This window comes from Homo sapiens, chromosome 7, assembly GCF_000001405.40.
Source record: "Homo sapiens chromosome 7, GRCh38.p14 Primary Assembly".
Lineage (NCBI taxonomy): Eukaryota > Metazoa > Chordata > Mammalia > Primates > Hominidae > Homo > Homo sapiens.
The window spans coordinates 100288520-100301349 of NC_000007.14; the positions used below are offsets into that span (position 1 = coordinate 100288520).

At 48.4% G+C, this 12830-nt stretch overlaps 1 annotated feature.

The window, feature by feature from the left end:
* Positions 372-535: a silencer, noted in NCBI's record as "fragment chr7:99886514-99886677 (GRCh37/hg19 assembly coordinates)". NCBI's record gives its function as "represses an EF-1alpha promoter that drives an FKBP-Casp9 reporter gene in an ReSE screen in HepG2 liver carcinoma cells {active_cell/tissue: HepG2}" and the evidence as "EXISTENCE:reporter gene assay evidence [ECO:0000049][PMID:32094911]".

Genomic DNA, 12830 nt, shown 5'->3' on the forward strand with positions numbered 1-12830 from the left:
TTGCCCCAGGCACTTTGCAGACCAACCAGGAAGCATGGCAGAAGGCCAGGAATGGCTGGGGGCTGGTGGGAAGGATCAGGCCTGGCCCAGGCATTGCTGCTCTAGGGTCTCAAGGGTTCCCTGTCACTTTGGCCATTCTTCTGTTGCTAGTGTTCCTGGGCCCTTGGCAGCTGGGATCATTGCGGCCTCCCCACTGGGGGTGCTGGGGCCAGTCCTAGCCAGGGCAGAGAGTGGGTCAGCCGTCTCAGCTCCTTGAGTGGTTGGTGCTGGTACTGGTCTCATGGTTTTAGACCTGGCACCCAGTGGGTATGGGGAGCCGTGGGCACCTGTGGGCCTACTTATGGAAGTCATCCTCTTCCCTTATCAGGTACTGCCAACCCTGTGGTGCAGCTGCTGCCTCAGTTTCCCTTTGTGTTCCAGGTCCCCACTGTGGCAGTTGCTCTTCCCTGAGATCCAGCCAGTGGAGCCGAGTCCCTGGTGTCTTGCTGACTTCCTGCCAGCCCCTGAACCCAGAACTCTCTCTTTCCCTTGGCCACTGGCTAGGAGCCTCTACCACTGAAAAAACTCAGTTTCCTAGCCAGGTGCAGTGGCTCACGCCTGTAACCTCAGCACTTTGGTAGGCTGAGGCAGGAGGATCGCTTGAGAACAGGAGTTTGAGACCAGCCTGGGCAACATAGTGAGACCCCACCTCTAAAAAAAAAAAAAAAAGCCAGGCATGGTGGTGCATGCCTGTAGTCCCAGCTACTTGGGGGGATTACTTGAGCCTGGGAGGTTGAGGCTGCAGTGAGCTATGAGGGGTGCCACTGTACTCCAGCCTGGGAGACAGAGTATGACCCTGTCTCAGTAACCAAAACCAAAACCAAACAAACAAACAAAAAAGGAAAAAACCCTCATTTTCCTTCCCTGTTAATATGGGTGATAATGCCCACTCTATAGAGTTGTTGGAAGGCATACTGATAGCATTTTTACGCATTTGACACTCCCTGGTAGATAGCAGGTGCTCAGTAAAAAGTGACAATGGGCTGGGCACGGTGGCTCACGCCTGTAATCCCAGCACTTTGGGAGGCTGAGGTGGGCAGATCACCTGAGGTCAGGAGTTCCAGACCAGCCTGGCCAACATGGTGAAACCCCATCTCTACTAAAAATACAAAAATTAGCTGGGTGTGGTTGTGGGCACCTGTAGCTACTCAGGAAGCTGAGGCAGGAGAACAACTTGAACCCAGGAGGTGGAGGTTGCAGTGAGCCATTGCACTCCAGCCTGGGCAACAACAGTGAAACTCTGTCTCAAAAAAAAAAAAAAGTGACAATGATCATTCCTGGTGTTAACAACAGACGTCCTTTTTTGGGGGGGTGGGGGACAGAATCTCCCGTTGCCCAGGCTGGAGTGCAGAGACACGATCTTGGCTCACTGCAAGCTCCGCCTCCTGGGATCACGCCATTCTCCTGCCTCAGCCTCCTGAATAGCTGGGACTACAGGCAGCTGCCAACACGTCCAGCTAATTTTTTGTATTTTTAGTAGAGACAGGGTTTCACCGTGTCAGCCAGGATGGTCTCGATCTCCTGACCTTGTGATCTGCATGCCTTGGCCTCCCAGAGTGCTGGGATTATAGGTGTGAGCCACCGCGCCCAGCCAATAACAGACTTATCTTTCTGCCTCTCACCTGACTCTGAGAGACTTTTGCTGCCATGATCTCTACATCTGAACTCCTCCCGAGAGCAGAGCTGCCCAGAAGGACCATCTGTGGTGATGGAAATGTTCTATGAATGCACCATCCAATATGCTGGCCACTTGAACACACGTGGTCCTGGCCCTTGTGGGCACTGGAATTGTGAGCAGCGTGACTGAGTATCTTAGTCTATTTGGGCTTCTGTTACAGAAAACCATAGGCTGGGTGGCTTAACAACACACATTTCTCTCTCACAATTCCAAGATTGAGGAACCAGCAGATTGGTGTCTGGTGAGGGCCCACTTCCTGGTTTGTGGATGGCTGTCTTCTCCCTGTATCCTCACATGATGGGGAGTGATATAGTTTGGCTCTGTGTCCCCCGCTTAAATCTCATGTCGAGACCAGGTGCAGTGGCTCACACCTGTAATCCCAGCACTTTGGGAGGCCGAGGTGGGCGGATCACCTGAGGCCAGGACTTTGAGATTAGCCTGGACCACATGGTGAAACCCTGTCTCCACTAAAAATACAAAATTAGCCGCGTGTAGTGGTGGGCGCCTGTAATCCCAGTTACTTAGGAGGCTGAGGCAGGAGAATCGCTTGAACCTGGGAGGCAGAAGTTGCAGTGAGCCCAGATGGCGCCACTACACTCCAGCCTGGGTGACAGAGTGAAACTGTGTCTCAAAAAAAAACAAAAAAAGAAAAAAAAAGAGGTTTCATGTCAAATTGTAATCCCCAGTGTTGGAGGTGGGGCCTGGTAGGAGGTGATTAAATCATGGGGTGGATTTCTCATGAATGGGCTGGCACCATCCCCTCCATGCTGTTTTCATGGTAGGTTATCATGAGCTCTGCTTGTTTAAAAGTGAGTAGCACCTCCCCACCTCTCTCTCATCCTCTTGCTCTGACCATGTGAGATGTGCATGCTTCCCCTTTACCTTCCACCATGATTGTAAGTTTCCTGAGACCTCCCCAGAAGCTAAGCAGATGTCAGAATCATGAGTCCTGTACAGCCTGTGGAACGTGAGCCAATTAAAACTCTTTTCTTGGCTGGGTGTGGTGGCTCACACCTGTAATCCCAGCATTTTGGGAGGCCAAGGTGGGTGGATCACCTGAGGTCATGAGTTCGAGACCAGCCTGGGCAACATGGTGAAACCCCCGTCTCTACTAAAAATACAAAAATTTGCTGGACGTGGTGGCAGATGCCTGTAATCCAGCTACTCAGGAGGCTGAGGCAGGAGAATGGCTTGAACCCAGGAGGTGGAGGTGGCAGTGAGCCAAGATCGTGCCATTGCACTCTTGCCTGGGTGACGACAGTGAAACTCCATCTCCAAGAACAAAACAAAACACCCCTCTTTTCTTTATAAATTACCCAGTCTCAGGTTTTTCTTTATAGCAGTGCCAGAATGGACCAAGACAGGGAGAGAGGAAGCAAGCTCTGTGATGACTCTTCTCGAAAGGCTGCTAATCCCATCAAGTGAATTCCACCCTTATAACCTCATCTCAACGTGATCACCTCCCAAACTTCTTGCCTCCAAATACCATCACATTGGGAGTTAGGAGTTTGACATATGAATTTTGGAGAGTCCACAAACATTCTGCCTGTAACACTAGAAATGAAATTTTGATTTCATTTTATCTATTTGTTTGAGACAGAGTCTTGCTGTTGCCCAGGCTGCCAGTGCAGTGGCGTGATCTCGGCTCACTGCAACCTCCACCTCCCAGGTTCAAATGATTCTCCTGACTCAGCCTCCTGAATAGTTGGGACTATAGGCACCCACCACCATGCCTGGCTAATGTTTTTTGTATTTTTAGTAGAGACAAGGTTTCACCATGTTGGCCAGCCTGGTCTTGAACTCCTGACCTCAAGTGATCCTCCCACCTCGGCCTCCCAAAGTGCTGGGATTACAGGGTGAGCCAGCGAACTTGGCCTTCCTTTAATTTTAATCAATTTAAATGTAAAGAGCTGCATGTAGCTAGGAGCTACTGAATTGGACAGCACAGCCTTAAGGAGAGTGGAAATCAGCTGAATCCAGTTGAAACAGGAGTTAAATCAGTTGGAGCCAGCCAACATTGGATGACCTTGGCTGAAACCACCTGAAACTGGTTGAAAGGAGCCACAAACTGTTCACAACCAGCTGAAGCTGAATTAACCTGGCTGAAACTGGATGAAGTCATTTGAAACCAGCTGAAACTGGATCAAACCAGCTGGCAGTGGTTGAAACCAGATGAAATCATTTAAGTAGGGTTTGTCATATTATTTTGCTTCTTGATGAACTAGTCCTGGGTTTTTTTTGTTTGTTTGTTTTTTGTTTTTTTTTTGAGAGAGAGTCTTGCTGTGTCGCTCAGGCTGGAGTGCAGTGGTGAGATTTCAGCTCACTGCAACCTTCTCCTCCAGGATTAAAGTGATCTTCCTGCCTCAGCCTCCTGAGTAGCTGGGATTACAGGAGTGCACCACCACTCCCGACTAATTTTTTTATTTTTAGTAGAGACAGGGTTTCATCATGCTGGCCAGGTTGGTCTCAAGCTCCTGACCTCAGGTGATCCACCATCTTGGCCTCCCAAAGTTCTGGTATTACAGGCATGAGCCCTGGTGCCCAGCAGCATAAACATTTAGTTTTATTCTAACAAGGTAGCTTGTACATTTTAAGATATAAAACTGAACATCTTTTTTCCTCTCCAGAGAAACATAAGGAAAACCAAGGAACTTTTTACAACAAACATTTTTAAACATTTACAAAAGTAGACAGAAGAGTACAGTGAACCCCTGTGGACCCACTGCCCAGCTTAAATAGCAATCAGGATTTTGCCAATGTGCTCCAAACTATCCTCCCCTTCCCCTCTTTTTCTTGGCTGGGATGTTTTAAAGCAAATCCTAGATATGTAGTAAAAAGAAAATGTAAAAGTAAAACAGAACAAAAATTACAATGCAGAATACCATTTCCAAATAAGATCTGGCCAGGCGCGGTGGCTCACGCCTGTAATCCCAGCACTTTGGGAGGCTGAGGCGGGCAGATCACATGAGGTCAGGAGTTCAAGACCAGCCTGGCCAACACGGCGAAATGCCGTCTCTATTAAAAATACAAAAATTAGGCCAGGCGCGGTGGCTCACACCTGTAATCCCAGCACTTTGGGAGGCCAAGGCGGGCGGATCATGAGGTCAGGAGATTGAGACCATCTTGGCTAACATGGTGAAACCCCATCTCTACTAAAAATACAAAAATTAGCCGGGTGTGGTGGCAGGCGCCTGTAGTCCCAGCTACTCGGGAGGCTGAGGCAGGAGAATGGCGTGAACCCGGGAGGCGGAGCTTGCAGTGAGCTGAGATCGTGCCACTGCACTCCAGCCTGGGCGACAGAGCGAGACTCAATCTTAAAAAACAACAACAACAACAAAACCCAAAAATTAGTCGAGCATGGTGGCATGCACCTGTACTCTCAGCTACTTGGGAGGCCGAGGCACGAGAATCACTTGAACCTGGGAGGTGGAGGTTATAGTGAGCCGAGATCGCACCACTGCACTCCAGCCTGGGCAACACAGCGAGACTCTATCTCAAAAAAAAAAAAAAATCTGTTAGGCTGAGGCTGGGTGCAGTGGCTCATGCCTGTAATTGCAGCACTTTGGGAGGCTGAAGCAGGAGGAACACTTGAGCCCAGGAGCTTGAGATCAGCCTGGGCAATGGAGCAAGATCCCCCAACTCTACAAAAATATAGAAGCCAGGCTTGGACCAGGTACATGCCTGTGGTCCCAGCTACTTGGAAGGCTGAAGCAGGAGGATCATGTGAGCCCAGGAGCTTGAAACCAGCCTGGGCAGTATCAGAGACCCCATCTCTACAAAAAATTTCAAAATTTAGCCTGGCATTGTGATGTGCACCTATGGTTCCAGCTACTTGGGAGGCTGAGACTGGAGGATCATTTGAGCCCAGGAGTTTAAGACTGCAGTGAGCTATGATGGCACCACTCAACTCCAGCCTGGCCGAGCAACAGAGTGAGACTCTGCCTCTAAAAAATAAATAAATAACAAAAACTAGGTGTAGTGTGTAGTGGGTCATGCCTATAATTCCAGCACTTTGGGAGGCTGAGGTGGGAGGCTAGATTGAGCCTAGGAGTTTAAGACCAGCCTGGGCAACATGGCAAAACTTGTCCCTAAAAAAAATACAAAATTTAGCCAGGCATGGCAGTGCACGCCTGTGGTCCCAGCTACTTGGGAGGCTGAGGCAGGAGGATCATCTGAGCCCAGGAGTTCGAGACTGCAGTGAGCTGTGATTGTGCCACCACACTCCAGCCTGGGTGAAAGGGCAAAACCCTGCCTCAAAACAAACAAATATACAACAACAACAACAACAAAAACCCTCAAACAAGATCCTTTATGTTCTTCAGTTTCTCCATCAAGCAGCAGGGCCCCAGGTAGCATTAGAAGTGGATTTTCTTTTTTTTTTTTTTGAGACGGAGTCTCGCTCTGTCGCCCAGGCTGGAGTGCAGTGGCACGACCTTGGCTCACTGCAAGCTCCGCCTCCTGGGTTCATGCCATTCTTCTGCCTCAGCCTCCCCAGTAGCTGGGACTACAGGCGCCCACCACTATGCCCAGCTAATTTTTTTTTATTATTTTAGTAGAGACGGGGTTTCACCGTGTTAGCCAGGATGGTCTCAATCTGCTGATCTTGATCTTGTGATCTGACTGCCTCAGCCTCCCAGAGTGCTGAGATTACAGGCGTGAGCCACCGCACCCGGCCAAGAGTGGATTTTATATCTAAAGCTACAGTTTAAACCACAAGGGCGTCTGCTAAATACCACCCAAGGAGAAGCTAAGTTGTCAAAATGCCCACTCAACCCTCCCAAACATCTCAAACCCACCCTTTTCTGATCTCTACTCCAACGTCTTTTGTTTTTGTTTTGTCTTACACCAGGAGAAGAGAGAGATTCGTGTTGACAAGTCCTTGTTGTCCAGACTCACACGGATACAGCTGTGGGGAAGGAAGGAAGGCTGCAATGCTGCTGTTTCCATGAACATGCCTGGCACCCTCCAGGTGTCAGCAGGGCCAGGGGAGTGGAGAACTGGTCTCCCTCTCCGCTCCTCTATAGAACACAGTAGTGTGAGGATTCTGTACAGGTTTTGTTGGGAAAGAAAGGAGTAAAAAGGGACTTGGGACAGAAAATGTTTCCTCCTTTTCAAATAAATTGTGCATCAGGATGTAGAGAGAGTGGAAGAGGGAGTTCAGAGGCATCAGGTGACCAAACGTAAGAGAAAAGAACAGTCTGGGTGTGGTGGCTCATGCCTGTAATCCCAGCACTTTAGGAGGCCGAGGCGGGTGATTCATCTGAGGTCAGGAGTTCAAGACCAGCTTGCTCAACATGGTGAAACCCCATCTCTACAAAAATACAGAAATCAGTCGTGCGTGGTGGTGGGTGCCTGTAATCCCAGCTACTCGGGAGGCTGAGGCGGGGGAATCGCTTGAACCCGGGAGGTGGAGGTTGCAGTGAGCCCAGTGCACTCCAGCCTGGGTGACAGAGCGAGACTCCGTCTCAAAAAAAAAAAAAAAAATCAGATGACCCGCTGTGGAGCTGACTCTATTCCCAAATCAGGATTTTCATCAAGGTAAAAATCTAGGCTGGGCTGGGTGGCTCCAGCCTGTAACCTCAGCACTCTGGGAGGCCGAGGTGGGCAGATTGTTTGAGCTTGGGAGTTCAAGACCATCCTGGACAACAGGGTGAAACATCGTCTCTACCAAAAATACAAAAAATTAGACAACCGTGGTGGCGTGCACCAATAGTCCCAGATACTTGGGAGGCTGAGATCAGAGAATCACTCGAACCCGGGAGGTGGAGGTTGCAGTGAGCCGAGATTATGCCACTGTACTCTAGCCTGGGTGACAGAGTGAGACTCTGTTTCCAAAAAAAAAAAAAAAAAAAAAAAAGTAGGGCTTAAATTGGGAGAGTGACATGATATCAGATCATTACACTTGCGAAAATCATTACACTTGCGAAAAGATGAGCGTCATCAATACTTAGTGTTGGCAGAGATTTCAAACAAAGAATTCTCTCATATGTGCTGGCGGGAATGGAAGTTGTACAAACACCAAGGAAACCCCAGCACCAGCAATGGACTCACCCACACCCCATGACCCAGCAGCTCCACTCCTGGTGACTGTTCTAGAGAGGTGTGTGTGTGCAGGAACGTTCATCACAATGTTCACAGTGGTGCTGGAAGGACCCAAGTGTCCACCAGCAGGAGAAATGAACAAATGCACTGTGGCATATTCTTTTTTTTCTTTTTCTTTTTTTTGAGACAGAGTCTCACTCTGTCACCCAGGCTGGAGTGCGGTGGCGCAATCTCGGCTCACTGCAACCTCTGCCTCCTGGATTCAAGTGATTCTCCCACCTCAGCCTACCGAGTAGCTGGGACTACAGGTGTGTGCCACCACACCCAGCTATTTTTTTTTTTTTTTTTGAGACGGAGTCTCACTCTTGTAGCCCAGGCTAGAGTGCAAATGGCATGATCTTTGCTCACTGCAAGCGCTGCCTCCTGGGTTCACGCCATTCTCCTGCCTCAGCCTCCTGAGTAGCTGGGAATACAGGTGCCCGCAACCATGCCTGGCTAATTTTTTGTATTTTTAGCAGAGACAGGGTCTTAGCCAGGATGGTCTTGATTTCCTGATCTCGTGATCCACCCTCTTTGGCCTCCCAAAGTGCTGGGATTACAGGCATGAGCCACGGCACCCGGCCCCGTCTAATTTTTTGTATTTTTAGTAGAGACAGGGTTTCGCCATGTTGGCCAGGCTGGTCTCAAACTCCTGACCTCAGGTGGATCTGCCCACCTGGGCCTCCCAAAGTGTTGGGATGACAGGCGTGAGCCACTGCACCTGGCCATTGTAGCATATTCTTACAATGGAACAAGAAAGAAGAAGCTGCTTCTTCATTCAACATGTATGAATCTCATGTTCAACATGTATGAACATAACGATTAGACCAAGGAGTAACACACGAAAGCATGTACAAAATATGATTCAATGCATACAAAGTCTTTTACTTTTATGTGTGTATATATATGTATATATATACACATATATATATGTGTATATATATGTGTATATATATGTGTATATATATATACACGTGTATATATATGTGTATATATATATACACGTGTATATATATGTGTATATATATATATGTGTATATATATATGTGTGTATATATATATATGATATATCATGGCTCACTGCAGCCTCCACCTTCCAGGCTCAATTATATATAATATAATATAATATAATATATAATGTAATATATAATATATATATGTATGATATATATTATATAATATATATTATATTATATAATATATATATATATTTTTTGAGACGGAGGCATGGGTGGACACGGTGCTCATGCCTGTAATCCCAGCACTTTGGGAGGCCGAGGTGGGCGGATCACTTGAGCTCAGGAGTTTGAGACCAGCCTGGCCAAGATGGTGAAACCTCGTCTCTACTAAAAATACAAAAATTAGAGGCAGGTGGTGGTGCAAGTCTGTAATCCCAACTACTCGGGAGGCTGAGGCAGGAGAATTGCTTGAACCTGGGAGGCGGAGGTTGCAGTGAGCTGAGATTGTGCCATTGCACCACTCTGCACTCCAGCCTGGGTGGCAGAGTGAGACTCTATCACACACACACAAAAAAAAAAAAAAAAAAAAAGAAGAAGGGGATATTAAGATATTCAGATAGAGACACCAGGGGTGTGTGTGCACAGAGGAAAGACCATGTGAGAACCCAGCAAGAAGGTGGCCATCTGCAAGCCAAGGAGAGAGGCTTCAGGAGAAACCACCCCTGCCAACATCTTGATCTTGGACTTCCAGCCTCCAGAGCTATGAGAAAATAAATTTCTGTTGTTTAAGCCACCTGGTCTGTGGTATTTTGTTATAGCAGCCTGAGCAAACTAATACAGCTTCTCAAAGATGCCTCTAACCCAACTCCATTCCCACCCTAAGAAAGAAACTGTGGAGAACCTGCAAGTTCAAGGGTTTAATTTTGAGGTCAATACAGTAAGTCTGTCCTTTTAAATAGACCAGACCCGTGAATGTAAATGCCAGCTCCCAGCCCCTCCCAGGAAGGCTGAGTCTCAGCCCCAAAGAAAAAGAGGAAAAGCCAAGGACACTCCCTGCCTCCCTCATCCCCTCCTTCCCCTCCATGGGGCTGGCTGAATGGGAATCTCATGAACTCCTCAGCCCTCGCAGGCTTCAGCCCCGTGGGACTCTCCTTTGTGGTCAGAGAGTTATAAATTTGCCTTGTCATGGCACAGCCAGCAGGCCTGCCCTGTCCTCCTTCTAATCAGGTCTGCAGACCCCAGAGCCTGCCACTCACCTGCTACTATCCTGGCAGTACGCAGCCACCTTCCCAACAGAGGCACCGATGATGAGCACACGGGTCAAAGACCTTGACCCTGCCATAGCTTTCTCCAGACCATGGCAGCGTGGAGGCTGCTCCAGTGTCTGGGCCCGAAAGCTGGGTTTTCCTATCGGCCCTTCTCCCAGCCTCTCTCATCATTAAAACAGCCATCCTTCATGGCATCCTGCATCCAGACTCGCCGTGCATTGATCAGCTCTATTAACCTACTTTTCATTTCAAAGCCACACAGCCATTCCTACCGTTTCTGTCCTGTGTAAATCCTCACTGAAAGCACACTGCACGCCCTTTGTCTTCCTGCTATTTTTTGTTTGTTTGCTTGGTTGGTTTTCTACTCTTTTTTCCTAACGGTTTTTCTCTCTCCAAGGCACATGATCCCACAACCCATGTGATTTAAAAATTCTCTCTGGGGCCGGACATGGTGGCTCACATCTGTAATCCTGGTACTTTGGGAGGGCGAGGCAGGTGGATTGCTTGAGATCAGGGGTTCAGACCAGCCTGGCCACATGGTGAAACCCCGTCTCTACAAAATACAAAAAGTAGCGGGGGGTGGTGGTGCAGGTCTGTAATCCCAGCTACTCAGGAGGCTGAGGCAGGAGAATCGCTTGAACCTGGGAGGTGGAGGGTGCAGTGAGCTGAGACTGTGCCACTGCAGTCCAGCCTGGGTGACAGAGCAAGACTCCATCTCAAAAAAAAAAAAAAATTATCTTTGGAAGAGTGAAATTCTGTCATTTGCAGGAACACGGGTGAGCTTGGAGACCATTATGTTAAGTGAAATAAGTCAGGCACAGCAAGACAAATGGGCTGGGTGTGGTGGCTCGTGCCTGTAATCCCAGTACTTTGTGGAGGTGGGGGGATTGCTTGAGCCCAGGAGTTCGACACCAGCTTTGGTAACAGAGAGAAACCCCATGCCTACACAAAATAAAAATAAGAAATTAGCTAGGCGTGATGGTGTGCCCCTACAGTCCTAGTTACCAGGAAGGCTGAGGCAGGAGGATTGCTTGAGCCCAGAAGGTTGAGGCTGCAGTGAGCTATGATTGCATCACTGCACTCCAACCTGGGTGACAGAATGAGACCCTGTCTCAATGAAAAAAAAAAGAAGACAAATGCCGCATGATTGTGTTAACATGTGGTAGCTAAAAAAGTTAATCTCAGAATTAGAGAGGAGAGGCCAGGTACGGTGGCTCACGTGTGTAATCTCAGCACTTTGGGAGGCCAAGGCAGGCGGATCACCTGAGGTCAGGAGTTCTAGACCAGGCTGGCCAACAGGGTGAAACCCCGTCTCTACCAAGAATACAAAAATTAGCTGGGAGTGGAGGCACATGCCTGTAATCTCATCTACTCAGGAGGCTGAGGCAGGAGAATTGCTTGAACCTGGGAGGCAGAGGTTGCAGTGAGCCGAGATTGCGCCACTGCACTCCAGCCTGGGCGATAGAGGGAGACTCTTTCTCAAAAACAAAACAAAACAATTTATTTTCTATATTCAAATAGGTAGAAGAGCAGATTTTGAATGTTCCCAACACAAAGAAATGATAACTGAGGAAATGAATCCGCTAATCACCCTGATGTGATCATTACACATTGTATACATATATTGAAATATCACCTGTATCCCGTAAATTATTACAATTATTATATAAACATACAATTATTATACATAAATTAAAAATAATAAAAGCAAGAAAGAGTTCTTTTTGGCATTTTAAACAGAATTCCCCCTCTTTTGCTCGTGAATTTGAGAGGCAGTGTTCGAATCACAGCTTGGTTAGCGTGTGACCTCAAGGAATGTTTGTTATCTGGGGCTGCTCAAACAAACCATCCCACAACTTAGTAGCATTAAATGGATTGCCCCAAACTTAGCGCCTGTCGTGATTTCTTTGGACCAGCGATTCTGGAAGTAGTTGGCTGTGCAATTCTGGCTGGAGGCAGGTGGAGGGGTGGAGGGAGTAAGGAGGTGGGCGGGGGTGAGAATGGGGCAGTGAAGGATGGGGTAGTGGAAGGCTGGCTGGGGATGCGTCTTCATGTCGTCTCAGGGCACATCCTAGGGTTAGCTTGGGCTTCCTTGCAGCATGGTGGCCTCAGGGCAGTGAGTCCATTTACACAACAGCTCAGGGCCACCGCGTACATGTTTTAGACTGTAAATTGGAGGCTGAAAAACATCATAACATCACTTTTGCCCTACTCAATGACTATCCTGTTACTAAGGTTGGGCCAAAATTAAAGGGGGGGTCATAGGCCCCCACCTCTTTTTTTATTTTCAGACAGGGTCTCCCTCCGCTGCCCAGGCTGGAGTGCAGGGGCGCAATCATAGCTCACTGCAGCCTTGACCTCCCAGGCTCAAGCAATCCTCCTGCTTCAGCCTCCCAAGTAGCTGGGACATGGGCATGCATCATCACACCTGGCTAATTAAAAACATTTTTTTTTGAGACGGAGTCTCGCTCTGTTGTCCAGGCTGGAGTGGAGTGGCACGCTCTCGGCTCACTGCAACCTCTGCCTCCTGGGTTCAAGCAATTCTCCTGCCTCAGCCTCCTGAGTACCTGGGATTACAGGTGCCCAACACCACACCTGGCTAATTTTTTGTATTTTAGTAGAGACAGGATTTCACCATGTTGCCCAGGCTGGTCTCAAACTCCTCAGCTCAGGCAACCCGCCTGCCTTGGCCTCCCAAAGTGCTAGGATTACAGGCATGAGTGACCATGCCCAGCCTAAAAACTTTTTTTTAAGGGATGGGATCTTGCTAGGCTGCCCAGGCTGGTCTTGAAGTCCTGGCCTCAA